The sequence below is a fragment of the Homo sapiens genome, chromosome 8, assembly GCF_000001405.40.
Source record: "Homo sapiens chromosome 8, GRCh38.p14 Primary Assembly".
In the NCBI taxonomy this organism is placed as follows: domain Eukaryota; kingdom Metazoa; phylum Chordata; class Mammalia; order Primates; family Hominidae; genus Homo; species Homo sapiens.
The window spans coordinates 74,836,775-74,864,124 of record NC_000008.11 but is presented as its reverse complement, the minus strand read 5'-3'; the positions used below and the strand labels follow the sequence as shown (position 1 = coordinate 74,864,124).

At 35.2% G+C, this 27,350-nt stretch overlaps 1 protein-coding gene across 2 annotated transcripts in view; it reads right to left on the bottom strand.

Moving 5' to 3' along the window:
- Positions 1–9,095: 9,095 nt before the first annotated feature.
- PI15 (peptidase inhibitor 15) overlaps positions 9,096–27,350 on the bottom strand; it is a 30,496-nt gene continuing 12,241 nt past the window's right edge. For both annotated transcript variants that reach the window (NM_001324403.2, NM_015886.5), the window contains exons 3-6: positions 20,026–20,144; positions 18,865–18,997; positions 18,628–18,743; positions 9,096–15,007 (exon numbers count right to left, since the gene is read on the bottom strand). In NM_001324403.2, coding sequence (NP_001311332.1) covers positions 14,872–15,007; positions 18,628–18,743; positions 18,865–18,997; positions 20,026–20,144 — 504 coding nt within the window. In that variant the 3' untranslated portion in view covers positions 9,096–14,871. The remainder of the gene's footprint in view (positions 15,008–18,627; positions 18,744–18,864; positions 18,998–20,025; positions 20,145–27,350) is intronic.

The following is a 27,350-nucleotide window of genomic DNA, read 5'->3' as shown; positions in this document are numbered from 1 at the left end:
TCCTGAATAAAAGCATCAATTCTTTCAATGGTGAATGGCTATTCTGTGCTAGTAGTGTGTAATACAAAGATGACCCTAGCACAGAACTTGTTGTGTACTAAAGATATTTTTAGGATGTTTATGATTACGCAATAAGGGAAACTAGAAGGTAAATGCAAGAATAGAGATATCGTTCAAGTGCTGTTGGGGCTCAAAGGAAAGAAAGTATGCTCATAAATTGGGAAACCAAAGACCTCCAGAAGAGGTAAAATTAAAGCCATGACAGATTTATGCTGTCCCACGCATGCCCAGGCGATGTAAATTGTGTGAGACTCAGCAGAGTTGTTGGGAAGTATGGAAGAAGATATAAGTAATACAAGGTATCAGTTTATCTTTAGAAAAAAGGATGAAGCATAGTAGAAATAAGCTGTAAATATAAACTCTGGCCTTCAGCCTGAGGGTAGTTAAATGGAAATAAAGGCTGTTTGCATTTATTCTATAAGGGGCAAGAAGCAAAGAAAAGAATTTGAACAGCAGAGTGACATGTCAGGCTTGGCCTAGGGGATATGGGTTCCTCATTAAACCACTCAAAGTCCCGGAGATAATAGAGGTCAAGTAGGAAAATACAGAACTGAAGGAGAAGAATTTCAAGAAAAATCAAATGAAAACTGCCTTAAGTTCAACAGAGACAATGAAGAAAGACAATAAAAGTGCTAGTTATTTTCAGTGAAATCACACAATTCTTTCAAGGCACAGTTGCATTTCAGGGAGAGTGGACATCATTCAGGTGTTGGCTCAGATTTTACCTCTTCAGTGGGGCCCTTCTTGACCAGCTCAGGTACCTATGGTCCCATCATCCTCTCTGTCCTCCCCTGTTTCATTTTTCCTCATAGCAAGGATCTCCACTGGGCATTTTATTATACACTTAGTGACTTCTATATTTCTGCCACCTGCCACCACAACATAAGTTTCTGGCAGGTATGCACTTGCCTGATTTTTATTTTAGATAGTACCTAACATGTGAAACATGCTAAAAAATGTTTGTAGAATGAATGAATTGCAAGAGGCCAGGGATTAAGCAGGCAATTGGGATAACCTGCAGAATGGGAGAAAATATATTTGAACTACCCATTTGACAAGGTTATATAACCAGAATATATAAGGAGCTCAAACAACTCTATAGGAAAAATCTAATAATCTGATCAAAAAATGAAGTCAATGACTGTGTGAGGCACATTCATGAGTCTGAGTAGTCAGGGACTAAACAGTGGATAAGACAGTGGCTGTTTTCTGTGTGCTCTTCTGGGCTTGGAAGAAGAGTAAAACTACCAGAGAAAGAAAAGATGATTGACAGAGCAAGATCCTAATGAAGGTGACCTCCCTGCCTCTTTACAGTCTATTTTGAGCACAGTGAAAATAGTGATCCTTCTGAAATGTGTTAAATCATGGCACTTTTCTGCTTAAAACTTTCAATGACTTTCTGTTTCACTCAGAATAAAAGTCAAAGTCCTTACAATAATCTGGTCCACACAGTATTTTGTGATCTCCTTGTCCTCATTTCCTTTTTTTATTGACTCATAAGTGTACATTTTATGGGGTATACAGTGAAGTTTTTTGATACATGTAATATATTGTTATCAGACCAGGGTAATGATCTCAAACATCAGTTTTTGTGTTGGCAATATTCAATATATTCCTTGCAGTTATTTGAAACTCTATATTATTCTTAATCATGGTAATCCTATGGTGGTATAGAACACTAAAACTTATTCCTACTATCTAGCCGTAATTCTGCATCCTTTAAGAAATCTCTGGCCCCTTTCTTTTTTCTTCTTCTTTTAATTTTTTAATTTTTTATTTTTTTGTTTGTTTTTGGTTTTGTTTTTGAGATGGAGTTTCACTCTGTCACCCAGGCTATCATGCAATGGCACAATCTCAGCTCACTGCAACCTCTGCCTCCAGGGTTCAAGTGATTCTCCTGCCTTAGCCTCCTGAGTAGCTGAGATTACAGGCACTCGCCACCATGCCTGGCTAATTTTTTGTATTTTTCGTAGAGCTGGGGGTTTCACCATGTTGGCCAGGGTGGTCTCGAACTCTGGACCTCAGGTGATCCACACGACTCTGCCTCCCAAAGTGCTGGAATTACAGGCGTGAGCCACTGCACCCAGCCGCCTTTTCTAATACTATTTTATTCTCCCCCTCTGCTGCACATCTGTGGACCAGACAGGCATGGTCCTGCCACAAGGCCTTTGCCTCCATCTTCCGCTGCCTGGAAACTTCTTCCCCAGAGATACACATGGTAGATGCCTAGGTACAGTTGCCACATGGCTATCTCCAGCAAATCTTTCATATCTTTGCTGAAATGTTACTTTCATTAGGACTTTCCTGACTCCTTAGGTAAAATTAAGCATCCTCCCTCCCTGTTCTTCCTCTGTCTCATCCTGCCTTATTTTTTCTCCATAGTGTTGATTACCCTCTGACATATTCCGTGTCTTTGTGTCTCTTGTCAACCTCTCCCCGTCTAGAACAGATGTTCCATGAAGGCATGGATTTTTACTTGGTTTGCTCACTGCATAGCTCCAAAACCTAGAATAGAGTCTGGCACATAGTTGGAACTCAAGAAAATCATGAAAAAAAATGAATAACCATGCACATAATTATAATAAAATACAGAAGTAAGCAGCACACAGAGAACTTTAATAAATTAAACAGACTAGTTTCATTCTGTTTACTCATGAGTGTCTCTATCAGTGATTCTCAGAGATTCACAGTATCCCTCCTCTTCCAGAAGGTTATTCAAAACTGCATACAGGTAATTTTGTTTGTCACCACAATATTTTTTAAATATATGGATGTTGTGTTCAACCTCAGGGAAGATTGTAATTTATCTGAAAATTTGTTAATATAATTATAGTTTGGTAGAGTTGTTTCATTATATGTATGGTTTAACATTTTATTTTCTAGCTCCAAAAAGATATTTCACATACTTAGACTTTTTTTTCTATGTGAAGTAGTTTCTTTTTCATATTCATTTAGTGGCTCAAGCTGATGAATCAGTTAGATAAAATTCTCACATTCTTAGTCTTCTGAGTAGAACTCATTAAGTACTGTAGAAAAAAACACCCAAGTTTCAAAGATGCCAGTTGATTCGGTCATTTTCAGATTACCCTATTTGATTCACACTGGAATTACTGAGCAAACTTACTTATTTTTCTGAGACAGTGTCTCACTCTGTTGCCAAGGCTGGAGTGCAATGGCATGATCACAGCCCACTGAAGCCTGGACCTCCCAGGCTCAGACGATCCTCCCACCTCAGCCTCACAGGCGTACTTCTCCTCATGTATGTCTTCGTTGTCTTTCTCTGTGGCCTATTTTCATTTTCAAATACAGACAGTATAGGAAAAAGCTAAAGGATTCAGTGCTGTTTTCCCAGAACTTGCATTCTTTGCCACATTCTTATCAATGTAAAGGTGAAATCAGGGGCCAACATAAAAATGTCTATCTAGGCAATCTGTGTCATGAGTTGACTGTTCAAACTATATGAACCCATTCCTAAAAGATATTAATGTAATTATTTCCAGCTACAGATTTTTTTTTTAAAAGTAACATAGCAGATGATAAATACTAGTTTTGTGAAAAAACAAGCTTGGTTTACTATTTCTATGGCAAATTAACTCCGTTAGCACAAACTTTCTAAGAATATAGATCTCATAGATCCCTAATTATTTTTCAGAACATTGTAAAAAATGATAGAGATAAATAATGATTTGTGTTAATTCCTCACAAGGAACCATGTTAAATGTTCTATGTACATTACTTCATTTAATCCCTACGACTCCATTCATCGTTTGATCCCCCTAAAAATATTTACTGGGCACCTGCAAAGTATTAAGCACATTTCTAGGATCTAGGAAAACAGCAAATAAATAAGGAAAAATCTCTCTTTCATGAAGCTTGCATTCTAGTGGGAGAGACAGCCTTAAGTCAACATATGTAATGCAACTGAATGGCGCATATACGCTCACACAGGGATCTTAGCAGAGTAATCACAGTGTCACTGCTATGGAGGTAATAACACTAAGGCAAACGCAGAGAGTGCTGGAGGGGCAAGAGGGCTGTTTTAAATCTGGAGGTTGGAAAAGTGTCTATTAGGAAGGGCCAGAATAAAGTGAGAGATAAAAAGCCATGTAATATCTGGGAGGCAGTAGGAGTAGAGGGAAGAACAATTGAAAAAGCCCCACCAAGGAGATAAACCTGGAGGAAAGAGAGCAAGTAAGGTCGGGGCAGAGTGAGCAGCAGCAATGAAGCAGAGAAGGACCTTGAAGGAGGAGGCAGGAGCCACCCAGCAGAGCTCCCGTGAATAGCGATGAAACTCAGATTTCCTTATGAGTGCATTGGAGGCCAGTCGCAGTGGCTCACGCCTGTAATCCCAGCACTTTGGGAGGGCAAGGCAGGTGGACTGCCTGAGCTCAGGAGTTTGAGACCAGGCTGGGCAACATGGCAAAACCCCATCTCTACTAAAAGTACAAAAAAAAAAAAAAATTAGCCACGATTGGTGGTGGGTGCCTTTAGTCCCAGCTACTCAGGAGACTGAGGCGGGAAAATCATTTGAACCTGAGAGGTGGAGGTTGCAGTGAGCCAAGATTGCGCCACTGCACTCCAGTCTGGGTGACAGAGCAAGACTTTGTCTCAAAAAAAAAAAAGCAAAAAAAAAAAGTGCATTGGAATGTCGCTGGAAGGTCTTGGGCAGGAAAGTCATGGGGTGTGTTTTACTTTGAAAATGATCAATCCTGGTGCTGTGGGGCTGGACAGTGAGAGAGCGAAAGTGGAAGCAGACAGACCTGTTAGGAAGCTGCCCCGGTTCGCACCTATTGCTTCTAAAATTTTTGGCTGTGCAATCCGATAGTAAAAAGTTTGGATCTTCCCTACCCCATTGTGTATGATATAAATTATAACCTGTGCTGATATATATTAGACATTAGACATTAGAGCCCCTAGGTTCCATGAATTATAATACATTGTATACATTATAAAATATTCAAGTAACAAAATATTTACAGTAAAATTTCTAATAACTGTTAAAAATATTTTGTCATCAATGCTATAAAGTCATTTTGCTTTCCCCAGAACAGTACTGTGATATTTCTATTATAATTTCAAATTTAAATTTTGCCAGTATTTACATTTTTAGCAGAGCAACATGATCAAATATGCTCAAATATGCTCAATAATTTTGAAAAGTTTTGTTTAGTATATCACTTCAATCATCATTTTACATTTATTTTCATTTAAAAACAGTGCTAATCATGATGGCCTAACTCACCAGCTAATCTATCAAGGCAAATATGAATCATTAACAGCACATTTATTACTCCTAGTAGTCTAGAAAATTTTGAATTCCTTGGCCAGTCTATCATAGTAGATCATCATTATTTTTACCTTATAATGTAGTTGACAGCTTGTTATTGTAAGCAAGGTAAGTACCAGCTCTTACATTTCCTAGTGTTACTTGTGCATTCATTATCAAATTATTTTTAATATTTGTTCCGTGGGAATTTTCTGAAACTTTTTGTCAATGTTCGTTAAAAGCCGGATTTCAAAATTAGTTCATTCTCTTATCTGGTTCACTAAAATACAGTATGTGGAAAAGCCCTAAAAGCACACACCCGCATGAGAAGCACAGGCGACACTGCTGTCGTAGGCCACTCGCCATTCTTCAGACACCACACCCTTCTGGGGAAACATGTCCCTTACTGATGGATCAAGGGAGAGCCATCGCTGTCAATCCATTGTCCTGCAGGGAATCTTCATTTTTTTCTTTCTTTTTCTTAGATAAAGTTAAATATCAAAACAAGTTCTTGTGTTTCCTAAGCATGACTCTCAATTGTGCTTCTTGAGCACTAGGGACAACAAACCCCACTTTGGACTCCATTAATGTATGTGAGAGACAGTGGTGTCAAGGATTAGGTGGTGGCAGCTGAAGTAAGGCCAAGCCTTACCTTAAGCGATGATGGTGTTAGGGACAACAATCTGTACACTAACTGAACTTAGCACTATTGGATTCTGAGTTTCTAGGACTTTACACTGTTCAGAGCTTTTAAGACTACATAAACTCAAATACCTTGAGTTAATATTGATGTTTCAAATTCATACTTCAGTGTTATTTTTTCAGATGGTACCTCTTTTCTCTTACATTGAAAACTTTGATTTCTAAAAAGAGCAGTCTAGTTACTTATGTGCATTAGTCTCTCACCCCTCACTAATAATACTACAAGCAGGCTACTGAATAAAATGAAATCTTTCTTTGCAACTCTATCTTTAAAATATGTTCCACTGAGGATATACACCCAAAATACTAAGTGTTAGAGTCATTTGAAATATTTTTGTCCATTTATTAGGTTCCCTTCTTACCCCCTAGAGGTAATAATTTTTATTCTTTTCTGATTCACCATTCCACTTTTCTTTTTGCGAATAAAAACTGATAGTATCATAAATGCATGCTTGTGTACGTGTAGTATTCCCCCAGAATCTTCTCACCAGGGTAGCATACCAATTACACTCTTCTGTACAATACTTTTTTCACTTAGGGAAGTATCCTGGGAGACCACTTCGTATGAGTTTATAAAGATTTTTTTCAACTGCATAATTTTTATGGACTGAGTGTATCCCCACAAATTCATATATTGATATCCTGACCCCCTAGTGTGATGATATTAGGGGGCTCACCTTTGAGAGGTAATTAGGTTGTGAGGGTGGAGCTCTTATAAATGGAATTAGCATCCTTATAAAAGAAACCTCAGAGAGCTGGTACACTCTCTTTCTGCCACATGAGGATACGAGGAGAAGCCAGGAGTCTGCAACCCGGAAAAGAACTCTCTGTAGCCTCATCAGGCTGGCATCTGATATCAGACTTCTAAGCTCCGGAACTGTGAGAAATAAATGTCTGTAGTTTATAAGCCAATCAGTCTGTGATACTTTATTATAGCAGCCCAAACAAAGGAAGGCAATGTATTATCTCATGTGGGCATACTACTCAGCCAACCCGTTTCTGATTTACCTTTGTTTCTGGCCTTTTGCTATTGAAACTGACCCAGTAGTCCCAAAGACGGTTTTTTGTTGTTGTTGTTGCTGCTGCTGTTGTTTTTGTTTTTGATAAACATAGAGATTGACCCTTCTGGTCTTAAAGCTTGAAACTCACCAGATTCAGACAATGAGAAGCCAGGCCCTTCATTCATTATGATTTCTTCTTTACCTCTCCAGAGTTCCTGTTTTCCCATACATGGTGACATTTCCTCCCTGCTATATAAACCCCTAATTTTAGTCAGAGAGGGAGATGAATCTGAGACTGATCTCTCATCTTGTCCACTGCAAAGCCTTCTTCCTTGGCAATAATCATTGTCTCAGTGACTGACTTTCTATGCTGAGAGCAGCAGGAGCTAGACTGAACCCCTGATGTTTCGCTAACACTATTACAAATAGTTACAAATCATACTATAATGATTCACACTGTACACATGTCATTTCATATTTTGCCAGTGTATTTCTGCAATGGATGTGTAGAAGAGGAATTGCTGAGTTAAAGGGTAAATGCATACACAATTTTGCAGGATACTGACAGATTCTAGAGCTTGTAGAATTTTCACATACCTTTTAGTTTTTAGAATAAAGTATAGTTATACCATTTTCATGTGCATGTTTTCAGAAAAAAATCATTTTTGAGATAATTAACTACATTGTTCAATGTATTATGTAGAAAGTCACAGAATGAATTTCTGTCTGCACCTAAGTTTGGTAAAATCCATGTGTTCCTTCATAAGCTGGCGTGTTCCCTTCAATTATTAGGCTGTCAATGAAGGAAACATGCCAGGATTTCATTTTTCCTTCATCAAAGGAGAGAGCTGAGGTCACAGATATTCAACTGAGGATGTGTGTCACCTCTCCACTTTGCTAAGACAGGACCAGACAGGACCAATCACTCCTGCAAAGTGTAAGCACGGCACAGGAGAGAGTCAGTGCTTCCTGGGACCACAGTGCCAAGGTTACTGTCTCAGAAGGACCTAGGGCAGAGTCAAGTGACAGCAGGAATAGGCTTTGCTTACAAGAGTACAGTATGCTGTATCTGGGAAAGCCAATGTCTGCCTTGTCAGGGGGCATTGCCTCTCATAATTAGCACAGGCTAATTAGTGCTCAACAGTGGGTAAGACTGAATGGGGTCATCACCCCCCGCCCCATTTCTTCACCTTCAGAGATGTCCCAGAATAGAAGGGTGAGATTTTGCTAGCATCAGTCAGGCCTCTGTGGGGCTAGAAATTGCAACACACACCTCACACACCTGCACACACATGCATGCACATACACACGCACAGATCAGTGAATGGAACCCCACCTCCTCTGGAGATGACAGAACTTCCCAAAATTGTGAGTGGAAAACCAGAGGCTTCAAACAGGAGGAAGTGAAGTGAGCAAGGACAACTAGCAAGAGAAAGAGAAGCTGAGAGACAGCTACAGGGTTGTGGGGGAGATGCTCTTTGAAAAGGCTTCAGTTAGTGAGGCTCTCTCTATGGTAAGGAAAAATTTAAATGAAGTCCTAGATTCTGGTCTTTCTCAACTGGCCTGTGAGATCAACCATCTCATTAGAGATGAAAGAGTTACCCCTCTACAAGGAAGAGCCACCCTGGGAGTCTCCAGCCTTGGGCAGACTAGCGGCCTGAGATGGTGCCTCTCCTTTAAAAAGGCTTAGAAGCCCTCTAGGAAGAAACAAAAAATATTCATGGTCAACTGCAGCAGTTTTCCTTAGTCAGAACTTCTTGATGTTGTTCTTTTGCTCTCCCTCCATGGAAATATCTTTTATAATGATACCTCAAAATATTTGCGGGGATTTAGTGGCAAAAGAAGGAAAGAAGGAGGGCAGAAAATAGAAAAGGGAAGGAAGAAAGAAAAATAGAGAAGTTGGTGTTCAGTGATGCGTTAAAGATACAATCATTGTTGCTTTAGAAAAGTGATTTATCTCTCATCAAAACTGGCCGATGGTCCAAAAGGCCAGTTCATCTAGTGTCTAATCTACTTTAAAACTATGAAAAAAAGGAAACAATTAGATATACTTCAAAAACAACCAATTAATTATACTCTTTTATTGAAAGAAAAAACAATACAATGGACTTTAAAAAGCTACATTTGTTATGGTTCATAAGGACAGAGGTTTACACAGGTTTTATATATGTACACACTGACAATACTATATCACAACATCAGAGGCACCATTTTTGCCACAGAATTAGGTAATGAATAAAACTTCTCCAAATTAATCTGTTTAAAAAATATCTAAAATGGTACAGTATATTTGAGGATTATATAAATATGTGAGACATATTTAGATATTTTTTAAAAATAGTGTTTATATATATGCATCACAATCTTCTCTAATTCTCAAAATATTATGGCACCAAAATTCTGTTTGTCAAATAAAACACAAGATGCTGTAATATGTATCCAAGCACCAGCTTAGCACAGTATTTAATTCTCCCCCAAACTGAAAGACTGCTAACAGGTACAAACTGAACTGAATATTTCAAACAACCATTGAAATAATTTAGGCCCTCAAATTTTTTTTTTATTAGCTGATTGTTTTTAGAGAAAAAAGAGGGAGCTAAACCATTTAGATTAATGTTGCTCTGTGTGATAGAATCAATCCTAGGGCTCAGAGAAGAATATTCCTAGGCACTGGAGAAGGTGAGAGGAATAAGTAAGTCCATTTTATGTATACTACAGGTTGGAGTTTTGCATGTGATTTAGTTCATAGAAAAGGTTCTACTGCTTTAAAATAAGTTTGAAAGTATCAATTTGGAAAGTGCTTCAAGGTAAATCTTCCTTGATTATGCTAACATAATTTAAGAAATCTGTCAAAACAGATTACAAAAGAGATTACACCCAGTCAATTATATATCTAAACTGAAGGTTTAGGATGTTATCTATAATAGTTACACATGATATAATCCTAAGCTTTTGCATACATTTTTAAATCTAGAAAGACTTTGAATGGAATAATACATTAGTTCAATAATATGACCAAATAACACTAACAAATGATAGGCCAATAATTAAAGGTGGAGAAATAATCCTTTTATATATGAAATTGATTATTTTTCTATATATTTTTCTTATGACCTGTGCTAAATAAAAATAAATGATCACTTCTGAAAGTGAGACAATTATACCTCTGTTAATTAATTGTAATTCTAATTGTGTTTATAAAGCTAACTAAATTTAAAAATATATTTTACCAATACCTAATTAATTCAGAAAAAAAAAAGCACTTTAATAAGTGCCTCAGAACTGGAAAATCATGGAAAACATTACTAGGAAAGTGGGTGCCAGAATATATTAACTCTTTTTTCCTCTTAGATACATGTTAATATTATCAAACATTTTAGGTGCTGTCAGATGTAGGAAACATATGATAATTCTAATATTGCACAACAAATTTTTATGGTACAGAAATGGCTTTTGCTGTAGGTCAAGTAGCCATTAAGAATTTGTCTTCATAACCACCAGAGGGCGCCAGTGCCTGCAATATTATTAGCTGTAGAAGTAATCTAACCAGTTTAGGTGATATTTGACTTTGGACATTGCCAAGCTATAAAAAGATTTTAAAAAGAAAATAACTCCCAAAGAAATATATTTACACTCTGTAACACCTAAATAATGTTGGACTGTTGAATTAAAACAACAGAGTTAACTTGCCTGTTTTTGGTAAAGATTAATTTAACATAGGATTTTATTGATATTTCTGAATCAGGAATCAAATGGATAACACTAAATTTAGCAATGAATAAAAGGAGCATTACTAAAGCCATCAACACTAACAATTCATTTAGCACCATACATTTAGCACCAGAATAGATACTGACAGTTCACACTGAATAAAAAAACTTTAATTGCTAAGAAACTTCAAAACTTATAGCAAGGATATGTGGTAATTGTAACGTGTTTTCAGCACCATTAATCAGTGAAGTGTTAAACCTTCTAAGTTTTTGACTGATCTCCCATAAGTCAAATTTAAACAATAACATAATTTAAAAAATTATTTTGCATGTGTTCAAATAATTGGATGTGATTATACGTTTCACCAGCATAAATAATGACAAATTTTTATGAAACATAAAAGCAAAGATAATGTTAGAAATTAAGACAAATGTAACTTTATCCTTCCTAAACACTTTGGTAGGTAAGAGCTTCCATCTATGTCAACATTTGCATCCTTCGATACTGCAGAGCCTGGGTATATGGCTACACAGGAAGAACCTACACCAAAGTCTAAGCATTATTTTTCCTTCATAGACCCATTCAAATTATGTTTAGCTTGTGCATGTATTTGATAAGCATGGCATCAACACAAAGCACTTAAACTGGCTTAAATATGTATTAGATTTAATTATGCAGATAAGTTGGTTTCACATAGGTATATATTATGAGAAAAATTTCTATTGTTTCAATTCAAATATTCTGTGTAAATTGAACTTACGCCAGTGTTTGGTCAACTCTGTGCTAAAGCTGCATGGAACTTTCAAATGAATGTTTTCATAAACTTTTTAAATGAATGTTATGGCGCTGCCAAATGAAATTTGTAGGGCAACTCTGCTGCGTGATGGGCCACAGAAGGGATGATACTTAGACAACTGAACAGAAGCAATAACAATAATAACAATAATGGCTTCATCCACATTTTTTGAGCAAACTTATCTGTCATAACCAGAAACATTAAGACTGTGTCTACACAACTCACAGATAATTCTATAATGAAATCCATCAGTTTAATTCTAAAATTATAATTTTTCAGTCTTTTGATGATATGGAAGCCCCAAAACCTATATTGTGAGAATATTAAAATTTTTCTACTGGTCATATAAAAAAATTAACACCACAGAGAGGATCGATGATGTGGAATATGTATGCCAATTACTTTTTTTTTGAATGACACCTTTCCACATGAAAACCTTAATACTGACAATTTAAAGCTGCTTTTATGAAATAGCTTATACCCAGACCATTTCTGCCTCTGGCAATTACAGTAAGAAATAGCTATCCTAGCACCATTGTTGCATGCTGTGAAAAATATGGCAGGCTGTGTTGATACCAGCAAACTTTCATTTGCTTTAGCCTGGAAAATAAAATATTTTACATGGCCACTTTATATTATTAACTTTAAAAAATAGAGTTAGAATAACAAATATACCCGTTATATTTTCAGCTGAGTTGTTAAATTATAAATAAACTTGTAGTTTTTGTCATGGTTTGGAAAGGACTATTGCCTAAGTGTGTAAACCCTGGTCTTAATCTGATATATTTGATGATTTATCTGGATTTTTGATATAATCACAGCTTTATATTTAAGACATTTTTGTCTTAAGCATGGAAAGGTGGGATTTCTGTAAATTGTTGCCATTTTTGGCTTCTTAGTTAATTCTAAAAATCCATTCATATAAGCATTTATTAAACATTTATTATGTTACAGCCACCATTTAAGAAGCTGGGATAAATACAAAGAATTAAACAGAGTTCCTGCCAAAGAGGGGCTCATGAAAAATTTAATTTAATCTCAAATAAGTGTTTTATATTATTAATGATAATTTTAATATTCATAAATTTTTATTAATCTGGTAAATTTACCTTCATAAGAACCCCTGTGAAATATGTAGCAAATATTATTCTTCCTTAGAACTGAAAAGTGAACTCACAGAAGCAATTCAGCAACAAAATTGGAACTTAGTGTAGCCATCTTCTGTTTAATAGTACTTATTGCTGTTCCTGTAGAATGAATATAGTAAAATTGAAGAAGGAAAAACTTTCTAGATAAATCAAGCCAATATTCCATGAATAAGCTTCCCTTTCAATTGTTTAGATATATTAGAAAAAAGTTGGATTAAGACCTAAATAATGTAATTACTTCTATTCTCCATTTTAATCTCCAAAAATATTTATTTTTAGTAGTGTCTACATATGTGCCCACAAAGGCAGAGTAGTATGATATCAAAGCATTTGGTCACCATATTCAATTTATAAGGATAATTGGGCTAGTCATTCATTAACAAGTAGACTCAATCTCCAGATGGTGAGTTTCTTTACCATTGAATGGATTTAACAATCTGTCATCTTTCAAAGTATCCAAATGTGTACAAGAAACTGCAAACGTGTATGGAATTTTAAACAAGTAGCTTCCTTCTGTAATTTGCACTCTGGAACTAACCATATTTAATTGTTCTATAATTCTACGGGAGCATTACACAACCTGAATAAAACACACACACATGTACTTGAAATGCAGTATGTTAAATGTCTGGACTAAGATGTTGTATTCTCCTCTCTGAAAGAGATTTCATGATAGGAAAATGTTGCATTTCCAAACTACATGAGTAAAATTTTCATAGTGACTTTGAATGGATTTCCATAATCAAACTCAATGAAGAACTGAAAATGTTTCTTCTACAGAAACACAGAAATAAAGTTGGTAACTAGCCCTTAGAAAAGCATCTGAAGAAGGCTACTTTAACAAAATCATGACTGTGTGTGGTGTGCACGAAGGATCTTTCATACAATACTCAAAGACCCAAGATGATAAGTAGATTGATTCAATGACAGACTAAACAACAAAGAGATAGAGGTGCCCTCAGCACCTCCACATCTCTTTTTGGAATCCTTTGTCTCCTGCTGAGAGGCCTCAAGATGTACTAGACTCTAAGGATAGCCCATTCTGAAGCTCTCCATCTGGTAGTTAGGCGCAATTACACTTTTCATACCTGTCCACTAAATTTTATTTCTCTTAGACTTCATTGGTTTTCTGAGGGTCTTACTTTCTGTTTTCCAAAGTCACAGCTGTACAATCTGCTCCAGAAATCTTGGCATTTGTTAATTCTTTCCTTCCCCTTCTCATTCCAAGCACTGTAACTAAATTCCCATGAGAAGCAGAAGCTTTATGTATATATTGCACAGCATGGCTTATTACTTGCTCCACCTACAGGTAAATACTGCTGTGTCTGCTTCCTTCAAAAATAATTTTATAGCAAAATCACTAGTCTGCATTATTTCCTGAATACTTTTGTGAGCTTCTTGAGGGCGGGAACCATGTCTAATTATCTCTGCATTATTAGAATATAACTAGCAGAGTGCCTTGCATGTAGTAAGCACTCAACTCATGACGACTGAATGAATAAAATGAGACTAAGCGGAAGGCATGATTTGAGAACTTATATAAGTTGGCATTATCCTTTGGTGGACTCAAATAAGAAAAAATATCTCCAGGGTGAAATTCGTGGTTGCTTAATTGAATTATTATTTCCAGATATCACTAAGTGTTATTTTACAAATTATCATTTCATGGGTATTATAGAAATGTGTGTTAAGAAGTCCCATCACCTCGTATATAATTGAGAATAGTTTTTTAAAAATTTCCCTCAAGTTGACTACTGAATCATATTATCATCTACATGTTACATCACATATTATATGTTTGTGTGCATATATAAATCCATACACATACATATGTATATGTATACATACACACACTTACAGGTCAAATATATATTTACTCCTTAGGAACATAATGATATAATTCCTTTGGAATGTAAGTTTTAGGATTGGATGCATCAACTATGTCATCATTACATATACAATATCTTAATTTAGGCTTAGAGGTCAGAAAATAGAAATTGATGTTTCAAATATTTCAAAGGATTAAACAAACATGCTAGACAAACACTAATTTATACAAAGGAATACTAAGAGGAAAACAAGATTAGCACAAAATATGTATAATATGTGCAAAATTCTCTCTCCATATATATATATACATGCCCATGTTCCCAGAAATCATTATATTTCCTGGAGGAAAAGGTAAACTTATTTAAACCAGTACAGGTAGTTTGACGTAACTCCTGGAAAACACAGATTGTCAGTACAAGATCCCCCATAACTTGGAGGACAAGATGAACATGGTACCCCTACTTTATATGGTGCTTCTCCAATCCAATTGCCCCTAGAAGGGAAAACAAAAAAGATAGCATTAGTGCAACCCACCCATTTTTTAAAAGTAGATTGTCCTTAAGCCATATGTTCACAAGTATTGACATGTGATGATCCGTTTGAGAAGTTGCTTTAGAAAGTCACTGAAAGTTATAATCATTTCTTATTTCAATAGTAACTTATTCTGTATATCTTGCTTTTGAAAACTATTCTGAGTATTATACAAAAAATTAGCTGGGCGTAGTGGCGGGTGCCTCTAGTCCCAGCTGCTGGGGAGGCTGAGGCAGAAGAATGGCGTGAACCCAGGAGGTGGAGCTTGCACTGAGCTGAGATGGCACCACTGCACTCCAGCCTGGGCGACAGAGCGAGACTCCGTCTCTCTCTCTCTCTCTCTCTCTATATATATATATATATATTTATATATATTGTATATATATTTATATATTCTTAGTATTGTTGATGCTATATTAATTTACAGATAAGAAGTGAATGCCTACAACGCCTGATGATACAGAGCCCTGGGACACCAGGGTCATTCCACTCAAATCTCTCTCCTTCTACAGCAGATTTCTGGAGCACATACTCAGGCCATATTCCCTTAAACTTACTCCTTTTAAACTCACACTAATGCTCATCTGAGGATGATTAAAAAAACAAACTAATATTTTCTGGGAGGCTTAAAAATAATGAAATGAGTAATAAGTTATCATATACACAAAATATAAGTTATCATAAATAAAAGGAGATTTGCTTCTGCAAAGTATTTTAGTTTCCCAATCTTCATAAAATGAGATGTGAAAAACTTCATATATGGTATAATGGTATAAACCAATATACCATTATTCTCATAAGAGAGTAATGTCTCTCAGGAACAATTAAAGGTGATTTCAAAAGTTTTATTTCATATGCAAATTCATAGCTACTAATTGTTTTAAATTAGTGCTATTAGATTTTTGATAATACTGAACCCATTTAATTGAATTACTTTGTGTTGTCAATATTTTTCCTTCACTGTGTTGATGGCCATTATCATAATAATAAACCAAAATCTCCACTTAACAGAGTTAAAAACTGCCATGATGCCATACTGTTATTTTGCTCTTTTAATTATAAAGGAGAAATTAATAAATGTGTTTTCAGTAGTGTGGTGATAAGTAACTAGAATACTAAGAAATAGCAATATAGACAGCAATGTGAAGACAGTTAAATGGTCGGGAGAAAATTTGGTTATCGGTGGTAAAAAGTCAGGGTTGAAGATAAGACAACAATAGGTAAGAGGCTAAAATGTGAAACAGGTGGTCCTCATCTTCCTGAAGACCCAACTAAGACCAAGCAGTGACTCACAAAGTATATGTATAAGATATGAAAATATCTTGATCAACCATTCAGTTAAAAATTCAGACTTTTAAATACAAAATATCTAGCTATACAGGAAAATCTATCCTTAAAATGAAAAACTTTTATTCATATTACAAAATGAGATGGGATTTTAAGACTGCCCACCTTTATTAAATTTATTCTACACTATAAGGATAAGCTTCCTCTTGCATAATTTTGATACCATCACAGGCTTGCTCAGAAAGGTTCAAGGGGGACCTATTATCTTATGAGTGTGGCTCGCTCTCTTATCCTAATCCTGTACCATTCATAATCTTATTTCCCTCTATGTATTTTTTTTTTTTTTTGAGACAGAGTTTCGCTCTTGTTGCCCAGGCTGGAGTGCAATGGCGTGATCTCAGCTCACTGCAACCTCCACCACCCAGGCTCAAGCGATTATCTTGCCTCAGCCTCCTGAGTAGCTGGGATTACAGATATGCACCACCACACCAAGCTAATTTTGTATTTTTAGTAGAGACAGGGTTTTGCCATGTTGGTCAGGCTGGTCTTGAACTCCTGACCTCAGGTGATCCACCCGCCTCAGCCTCCCAAAGTGCTGGGATTACAGGAGTGAGCCATCGCACCTGGCCCTCCATCTATGCATTTACCCAAAGTTATAAAAGCATATGGGCCAAGCTAATGCTATCTTAATTTCATCTTTTTGTTGATTTGTTTCACAGACATTTTTGGAGCACATATTTTTAGAAACAAAAACTTGGAAATAAAATTGTATCATAAGTAAAATTATTACATATTTTATATTATAAACTTTTACATAAATCTCAGATTTTATTGAATAGAGGATAATTCTATTCAAAACAGTGAATCAGCCAATTTATACACTTATACTATTCATTCTTTTATTTTATGCTATTCTAACTAAATTATTTCTCTTTCTCTCTCTCTTTCACTTATCTCTTTCCCTCCTTCCATTCCTCCTCCTCTCTCTCTTTCTCTCTCTCCGTCTCTCTTTTTCCCACTGAATAACAGTTAGACTTAACATAATTTCATATTAGGTTTGGAAGAATTATATTCAGCTATCAATCAGGATTTTAAAACCTTCTTCATTACTTAGTTTTCAGAAAAATTGTTCTTTATTACAACTGAAATGTAGCATGTTAATGTAATATCTTAATCTCTTGGACCTGTAAAGCAATAATATATCTCACTGATAATATTAGAAAATTATAACTATGGGCCAAAAATGAATAGTTACATAAATGAAACAAAAATCTCTTAGACTATTTGGGTACTAATTGGTCTATTTATGTCAGGGAGAAAGGGTAAAGGCTTCATAGGAAAATGCAATGTGTAAAACTAAAATTTTCGTATAAATGTAAAATTTTAATGCTTTTTTTAATAATGCAGACACAGTCTACTTTCCAAATCTTCCCATTCTAATAATTATGAAGAGGGGAACATAGGGAGAATCACTATTTTTCTGACTTTGTAAAAGCACTGCCACTGGCATACTACCACATAAATGAGTAATGCAGTTATTTGTGAAACATTTTCTCATTCCCTCCCCATGCTGGAATAGCTGGAGAAAATCTTTGTTTGAGACTTATTTTGGAAGACACCAAGAGTGTCATAAATCCTTTGCACATTTTGGTATTTATTCCAAATGGGAACAGAATTGTATATAAATATTGGAACATTTTATCATCCAAAGAGTTATTGTAATCAAGAGGCATTTTACCAAATGCTGATAAATGTTTATCCTCATAAATAATGTTCACAAATATGGCTATATTTATAATGTTTGATAAATTTCCATAATCCATTTTATATATGCCCTAGGATGAAATTATGAATTTTTAAAATCTAAAAAATAAGAGAAGGAAGAAGGAATTGACTTCCAATGTTTTGCTAAAAAGGTAAGCCAGCATTTTTGTACTGATAGATGAGAATATCATGGAAGATTCTTTCTTGATTTATTTTATATAGCTATTAAAAGCTTGTGTGGTACAGTGTTTATTTTACAATTGCCATAATTAAAACATATGGTAAGGAGAATTTAGTGAGCCCTACCATTTCAGATTGTTTTGCCTACAATTTTGAACTAGAATCCTTGTCTTTGTGAGAAGTAACCTTTCAGCTAATCTTTTTTCAGAAATATTGGAAGGATGGTGGATTTGAGGATTAGAGGCCATTATAGCTAAGCCTTACTCACTTACCTGTCACAGATAACTATCAGCCTAGGGATATTTAACGTCTTTAAAGGATCCAGGAAATAGAATCCAACCTGGTACTTACTTTGGGGCATAGTTGCATACCAAGTAAACTGCACGTCGCCACACAGATCCCCAAACATTCATGTTTTGGCAAGTATGAATTGCGCATCCTATCCGATTGGAAGTGGCCCAAACCATCTGTGAAAATAAACCAATAAACTGTTACAGAAGTCAGAGCTAAGACAATGCATGTCCACCAAAATAGTATTAGCATATTTTAAAAGTATGAATCAAAAATTAACAAGGTAATTGAAATAACCTGCGTATAATGTGTGCACATGGGACCAAAACATCTCATAGGACATCTGGGGTTGCAATCCTGGGGATATGGAAAAGCATAATCTTTCACTTCATCATACCATGGCTTGACCAACTGGAGAATAGAGCGATATCTGCATATAAAGAAAAGAAAGAAATCAGAGTGCAGCAGTGGTAATATATAAGGGACTCATGTTACACTGTAAATTGATTGTTCTTTTTGCAGATTATTCATGATGATCCAAGAGCACATCCACCCCTCACAATCACCATCACCACCTAGTCGGGTCCTCTATTCCTCCAACTAGGGCCAAGCATGGAAATGGCCAGGGCTGGAGTAAGTGATTCTGTATTTGTCTAAACATGTGTCTGGTCATTCCACGAAGAAAATGCAAATAATTTCAGGAATCATCAATGTCTTATTTAATCCATGTCGAAAACTTCCTCCATCAGAATTTTATAAATGATCCAGAATTAGATGTATAAAAGTAGTCACAATATTAGAACCCAGTGCATTTTTTTCACTTCAGTCTGAATTCCCTTAGTTTTAATAATAGCACAGTTGATTTTCCTTCCCTATTTGGGGGAGATGGGTATTTGGAGTGTTGGATAACGACTTTGCACAGTGGCAGAAAAATTATCCTAGCAAATGGGAATAGCTTTTCCCATAGCTGCATATACCTGCATGTATATGTATGTGTATAAACATATGTAAATGCCTACATTTTTATTGTATATGTTTATGTAAATGCGGGTATATGCAACTTTGGGAAAGTTGCACTCATATGCATACACACACACACACACACACACACACACACACACACACACACAGCCTCTGCACAGTCATGGGGCTTTTTCCTGAGATGGAGGGGGCAAGATACAGCACAGGCTTGACCCTTTCTAAGATTCTGCGAGCTCAAAGAAAAATCCAGGCTAAGGGAAGGTGTTCCAAGGGTGAAAAGGGGAACTGGCCCTTTAGCCTAATTAAGTAATTCTGGAAGACATCTAAAATATTCATAGGCCAAGCGTTAGTACCTGACACATAGTGAGCATTCAATAAGAATTTGTTGATATTACTTGAAATTGATGAAATTCCCTCCTAGAGTCCATAATTAATAAAGCCATGTGGATGAACTGCATCAGTGAAATTACTTCCTACCTTCCAGTGCGTACAGATAGATTTTGGCCCAAAAATCTCAGTAAGTAAGAAGGTCCATGGTCCCAAATGCAAGTAGCCGCCCAAGCCTCTGCCGATTTTGCAAGATTTTCATCCCAAACCTGTAGGGGAAAAAAATCTTCAGCGTTACGGAATTTGCTGATAACAAACAAAAAGTAAGACAAAATAAATGGTGCTACTATTTCCTAGAGTTATTGTTTGTCTGTTTGTTTGTTTTTGTTTTTGTTTTTTCTGCCCGGGCTGGAGTGGAGTGCAATGGTGCAATCATGGATCACTGAAACCTCTGCCTCCCCGGGGTCAAGCAATTCTCCTGTCTCAGCCTCCTGAATAGCTAGGATTACAGGCGCACATCACCATGCCCAGCTAATTTTTGTATTTTTCGTAGTGATAGGGTTTCACCATGTTGGCCAGGCCGGTCACGAACTCCGAGCCTCAAGCGATTCACCCGCCTCCGCCTCCCAAATTGCTAGGATTGCAGGTGCGCACTACCACATCCGGCCAAATTTTGTGATTTTTAGTAGAGACAGAGTTTCACCAAATTGGTCAGGCTGGTCTGGAACTCCTGACCTCAAGTGATCCACCCGCCTTGGCCTCCCAAAGCGTGGGGATTACAGGCATGAGCCACCACTCCAGACCTCCTAAAATTCTTTTAATTCTGGTTCCTGAGACTGCTATAACTAAAAGAAAGCAAATTCAGGCCACTGTTATTCAAAGTTCTGTAATGCAATATGGTTATACTACAAAAAATTACTGCCTTTTCAGTGTCATCTAGATCCAACATTCATACATCAGTTTTAGTAAAGAAAAGGTTAAAACAAAACACCATAACTAGTTGTAACTTGGGGACAGCTCATCCTGACTACTGAAATTTGAATCCAACAAAGTCCATTGGTTTTCCTAGAGATAATTTTCACAGCCGTCAAAAGCCATGATATTAATATATTTTAAGAAACAAAGATTATCTAATTTATTCAAACTGATTTTACCAAAATTAATAATGTCTAATTTTATATTGCAACGTATAAGGTCATACTCTATTATGGTGTAATAAAACCCACAGAGTCTACATATATAATATAATTTGAATCATTGGTGGTAATAAAAATAATACGATGATAATTTATATTCTTGTTGGTATAAACTAGAAACAAACTAATAAAAGTAACACTGCTACATAGTGTTATAAAAACATAGTACTTCATGGTTCAATTAAATGAATTAAGAAAAATAGCAACTGTTGCTTTCCTTTATAGAGGAAGCTAAGTTAATAAGGATGTTAGTGATGGATGGTAAATTTTCTTTCATTGAAAAATATCGTAGGACAAAATTTGAATGAGCCGTGGATTTAACATACATTCATATTAGTTAGCATATGGATTGACATACTCATTTCCATAGCTGCAAGAGGAAATCAAGTCTAGCATTTGCAGACCTGCCAGTAATAAATCAGTTCTGAAATGGTAATCTATTTTCTAGCAAGTCATAAGGTACAAAAATACACAATAGAGAATATTTATAATTCTTATACACATTATAGAAAAAGAAGTTTAAAAAAATTTCCCTAGTGGTAATATAATTTAGTGAAGTATTTACCTGTTGAAAATAATTATTTTAAAATTGGTTTCATAGTTCAATGTCATGGCATTATTTCCTAAACTATTTATAATATTTATATATTATTCTACCTGGAAAAATAGCGTTCACATTGTGACTAGAGAGTGGTTAGCAGCATATTTTAGAAATTGAGACCTTGTATGAAGAAGGAAGCAACAGTTTTATGATCACTTATATTTACATGGAGCTTATATGAGGAGGTATGTAAATGTCCTATTGATCTTTTTTGTCCTACTTTTCCTCCATCAGATTGTGTTCAGCTAAGTAAGGATTAGTAGCTATGCATTGGCAAGTTACAAGCTTTCAAGCAAACTCATGGGAATGCTTGACCATATCACTGAAAAGGCTTCATTTCCCTCAAGGATAATGGATTGCATAGATTTATTTAATGTAACAACATATTTCATTGAAAGAAACTAATTTAGTGACTTTAAAATAAAATAAGAAAAAAAAAGATAAACTCTTCAAGAGACCCTCTTACCTCAGGAGGCCTACTTTCAAAAGACATTTGTTAGTTACTCAGAAATAGTTTTAAATTAGGAAAAACAAAGTCATCTTACATAAATTGACCTAGGATTGCACAAAATAAACTCACTCACAGAGGTCATATAAAAATCATAGTATTCTGGGGATGAAATGAACTTTAAAAAACATTTCTTTTGGTTGAAAATTGATTTATCAAATATTTTTTCTTCTGACCAAATATTAACAGAATATGGATTCATAAAATATTGATTGCAGTTCACCACAATACAAAACATTACAATTAATTTATACAGGAATTTCAGATGGAGTAGCTTCAACAAATTATGTCCCCTAAAAGGTTATTAACAAATTATAGTTACTTTGGAAAAAGTACATGTATGCATTCTGTACATATTGGACTAGAGTGTGCACTCAGATCTGTAACTGCTAAAAACACTTTCTTATAATCTTACGCTAAAATATTAGCACAACATGCACACATAGCGCTGACCTGGATCAGTGACTAATCTAACCCTAATTCCACTGCTAAGGTCATCTGCGACTGAGGCCATGTCAATTGTGATCTCCCAGTTAACTCATCTGTAAAATGAGATTGAATGAGGGCATCTCCAGGGTCCCTTTCATCTTTAACTTCTTGTGATTTAGATACACTTGAGTAGCCCTAGCATCAGAGCAAGGAAGACCTGTGTTCTATTGGCCTGGGACTTCCTCAGTTCTGGCGTTTTCCATATCATGGAGAAAGCAAATCTAGATTATTTTTGAAATAATTAAAAATATTCAAGACATTTCTTTTTCCTTATCTCACTCTCTGTGTGTATACCGAAACATCACATTGTGTATGTTAAATATATAAAATAAAAAATAAGTAATAAAAATTAAGGCATTTAACAACTTTAAAAGTAATTTACCATATGTAATCCTACCTTTATACTCATTCATATATTTAAAAGCTAAATATTGGGTATGTCAAAAAGATAAACTAAAAAGCTCATGCCTGAAAAATATCTTACAAGACCATCCTTTGTTAACTATTATAAGGAACTTAGATGTGAAGAAAACGTGTTCACCGATGTCCATGCTTTTTGGTATTTCTATGCACAAATATTATATATTGGAGAAGGTAGTTACAGGGAAGGAGGGATAATTGCTTTCTCTCACTGTGTTTGCTTTTAGGAAACTAGGAGGGTTTCTACCTGTCTCCATGTACCTAAAGGAAGGTTCTGGAAAGTCTGACAGGTACTGTCAGACTCCCACATGGAGACAGGACTGACCTACCCTCTGATGCCCACTGCAGCGGAAGTCAGAGGGCCCCATGCTCTTTCTTGCCTTTCTGTCTCCAGGCAGAACTTGCATCTACTCAAGAAGGGGAAAGTCTGGCTTGAGTAGTGAGCTGTGAAATTTGGGAATTACATCATATCCTCTGGTAAAGCTGAGACCTACATTTACTTTCTCTGTCTTTCTCCATTGGTTACAATTCCCAGAGAAAGATGGGTAAGTGATTTATCCCCTTAGTCTCCACTTATTTCAATTTATTACTATGATGAGGTCTTTTAAGTTTGAAACTGACAAGCAATGATGACTTTATTTAATAACTATCAGAACTATATGAAGAGAAGTTGATTAATGGGTACAAATATAGAGTTTGATAGAAAAAAATAAGACCCAGTGCTTGATAGATAAGTAGACTATAGTTTACGATAATCTAGTGTATATTTCAAAGTAACTGGAAGAGAGTTATTCAAATGTTTCTAGCATAAAGAAAAGATACAAATTTAAAGTGATAGCTATCCCAATTACACTGATTTGATCTTTACAAATTATATGAATGTATTAAATTATCACATGTATCCTAAAATATTTCTATTATGTATCAATAAAAAATTTTAAAAATTAAAAAACAAAAAATATAGAAATTTTCAACAAAAAAAGTGGGATCCGTAAGTACTTATGATTAATTCTTTCCTATCGGGAAGCTCTAAGTTGTAATGAATGTTGCCATTGTAATTATGGGAAACATTTAACAACTGACGAAAGTTCAGAAAATGAGGATGTAAATTGTATAAACATTTGACTTAATTTATTAATTTCCAGATGCTTAATAGGCAATCTATCTGATAAATTTCTCTGAGTGTTTGTAGCATTTATTTAAAATGACTTTAATATACTCTACAGATGTATCAATGGAAGAAAGAAGGGCACAGGTGTGTACTTATTTCTGTGAAATGCCTAGTAAATATGCAACAAATTGTTATCTATTCGGAAAAACTAAGCACCTAATATATACGGAGCTCTTATTAAACCATATTCAACATTCTGACTTCCTAGTTCTTCTCCCTCTAAATAGATAAGGTATTTTCACAGATAATTTGCTTGTAAGGTATTTTCACAGATAATTTGCTTGTAAACACTTAAAATATTTCAACTTAAAAATGAGGAAAAATTAAGAATATTATGCGTAAATATGCACAAATATTTACAAGACCCACTAGAAGTTATACATTATGATTAAATTAGATAAATCAGATACAGTTTAATTCATAAAATAAAAATGGTTCATAATGGTATCAGAATATGCATAGGCTTGTAGGATGCCTTATTGCTTCCAAGCAGTTTTCTTCCATTCTTTTTTATTAAGAGCCATTCAGTTGGTCAGCTCATAAATTGGTTGATTTAGCTCTGGACTAAAATATTCACCATGAGCTATTGTGCTTATAAATAAAATTAGAGAGTTTGAGATAGACACAGTACCTTGCCTGCGAAGCACAAGAAGTTTAAACCACCAAACTAAGACATGACACATATCCAGAATTCACACTGAAGTCATTTAAATATCTAAAAGAGTAGTGATGCCAAAAGATAGAAGGAATATGAAAAGAATGTAGGATTCTCATCAAGTTCAGAGATGTTTAGAACTTGAGCTGAATACAAAATTGAGTAAAAAATGTTGCTGCATGGGCAAAGGTTGCGGACTTCCATAAGTAGACAGAAAAATTTGATGATACTGATCCAAACCAGATATGAGGCTGTCTTATCAACTGTCTTTCTAAGTTTTGGGATCCTCAACATAGTGGCAGCCAGGACCATAAAGCACACTGACATCTGAAGATGTTGTCTTAAATCCCAGCCACTATCTCTGGCTAGTAAGAAACGCCATAAGAAATGGAAGGCAACCCCCAAAATTACCTGGGACTCCACTCCTAAACTTGATTGAATTGACTTTTTTTCCTCTTTAATTGGGTAAGATCCTTTAACTTCAAATATAAAAATTAAATGTAGAAATGTTTAAAAAGATAAAATTTAAGGTAAAAATCCAAATAGTGCCCTTTCTCACTTATAAGTGGGAGCTAAACATTGAGCGTACACACAGACACAAAGATGTAAAAAATAGACACTGGGGACTACTTGAGAGGGGTGGGAGGGAGGTGGGAATAGTAGAAAAGCTACTGGGCATTATGCTCACTACCTGGGTGATGGGATCAATTATACCCCAAACCTCGCATCATGAAATATACCCAGGTAACAAACCTGCACATATACTCCCTAAAATATGAAAGTTGACATTACTTTTTAAAAAGGTTAAAAAGAATGGGCTTTTAGGGTAAGGAATCTGATCTTATTTGATATTACTAATAAATGTAATGGTTACAAAAATGCCCTATTACAGTAACATGTTAGTCCTACATTTTCAATTTAAAATATATATGCATATAAATACTTGAATTTATGATTTCTTATCATTTTCAATGATAAGAAAATCTGTTAATTTTTTTCAAGCTGTTTTGCAAAATTTAGGTGAAATGAATCGCTACATTTCTTAGAATTATATAACTTATTTAACTATATGGAAAGTATTATTATCAATAAATCAATTGAAATACTAAACAAGAAAATCAAATCTATTAAACCTATACATGCAGTTTAAGAAATTTAATTTGCAAGTGGTAACAAACATTAAATAAATGTGATTGTCCAAACTTGCTATACTTATGGAAAGAACAAAAATTCATAAAGTTAAAATTTTAAGGAAAAAAGAATATTAATTATGAAAATTAAAGTGAACTTTGAGAAGTCTATTCTACACATGGAAACCATTTTCAAATACACAAAATGCTAAAAATAAAAATATCAGACTCTGAATTTTGGGGGACAGAAATAAAGTTATTTTCATAGATGCCATGTCAATGGCATTGGAGACTGTGTGGCATGTCCTTTTGGACATTTATTTTTTCTTGGACGTTTATGTGTCATTTCACATACATAATATAAAAAGCAAAAGCATCTTACATAGACAAGTTTTTATTTTTAAAATAATTTAGCTAGGGCTATTTGATCTTTTTCTTAGATTGAGAAAAGAGTGCTAACCTATAGAAGTGAAAAAAAAAGCCATTAAAAAATTAAGTGATGCCAAAATTATTTTCCTTTAGGGCAGTCAAAGGCTTAAAAACACTTCATAGGCATGATTGTGGTTCTGTTTTAAAATTAACGGATTTATCCTTATTAGATAGAAATGCTTGTGAAATGGCCAATAAGGGAAACTGACAGCTGAATATACAAGAACTTGTGTTAAACCAGACAGGAGGGCAGCACTGAGCCTTGTTAGGCCAGGGAAGGGGAGGGTGGGGCAGAGGAAGAGAAAGGGCTTTCATAGGAGAATTTGAGAGTGGTGATTAAATTAATTAGATGATATTAAAATAGTTCTCTGTAAGAGTAGAAGGAGAGGATTAAAGAAACTTGATTTAAAAAGCATTCCCTTCAACCTCAAAAATAACTACAAAATATGACACTATATTATGTATATCAAAAAATATAAAGGTGAGATCCAAAGGATTTTTGTAATGTTTGAAGAAAGATAATGCTTTCCTTAAATAAGATGAGTATTATCTTTCATGTAAATTTATTTATCTATAAAGAGATGGTGTAAGGTGTACTATTTTTAGGGGCTCTGAACTGAATCATTGCCAGCAACATAAATATCTTAAAAGCACACAGATATTTGTAAAAATCCTCTCTTGAACCCTTTTCCTATTCCAACTGCTATGCCATTCTTCTCCTTTCTTTTACAACAAAATTCCTTGAGAGAGTTGTCTTCACTGGGAATTTCCAGTTTTGCTTTCCGCATTCTCTCTTGAGCCCACCCCAGGCAGATTTTCCACCCCATCCCCACTCCACCCAAGCAGCTGTCTTCAAGGTCATCAAAGGTCATCTCC